The following is a 200-nucleotide window of genomic DNA, read 5'->3' as shown; positions in this document are numbered from 1 at the left end:
TGTGGGAGCTTCTGGGTCCTGTCCATACCACACAGGGACTGAGAATAGCTCAAAAAGCTAAAACTTTACAATTTTGCACTCCTGCCTCTACCCTCACTCCCCTGCTTAATCATGCTGTGCTGCAGAGTTTGTCCATGGCTGCTTTCCAGACAGTTCGTGGGGCAATTCCCTCCAGGAATCTGAACACAAGGCAGAATGCA

The 200-nt window shown here is 49.5% G+C and overlaps 1 annotated feature.

Annotated features, from left to right (window-relative positions):
- Positions 1–200: an enhancer, noted in NCBI's record as "active region_21535". NCBI's record gives its function as "activates an Ori minimal core promoter by ATAC-STARR-seq in GM12878 lymphoblastoid cells {active_cell/tissue: GM12878}" and the evidence as "EXISTENCE:reporter gene assay evidence [ECO:0000049][PMID:35858748]".

Source organism: Homo sapiens, chromosome 4 (genome assembly GCF_000001405.40).
Source record: "Homo sapiens chromosome 4, GRCh38.p14 Primary Assembly".
In the NCBI taxonomy this organism is placed as follows: Eukaryota; Metazoa; Chordata; class Mammalia; order Primates; family Hominidae; genus Homo; species Homo sapiens.
The sequence above is the reverse complement of the archived record's forward strand: the minus strand, read 5'-3'. Positions and strand labels throughout refer to the sequence as shown.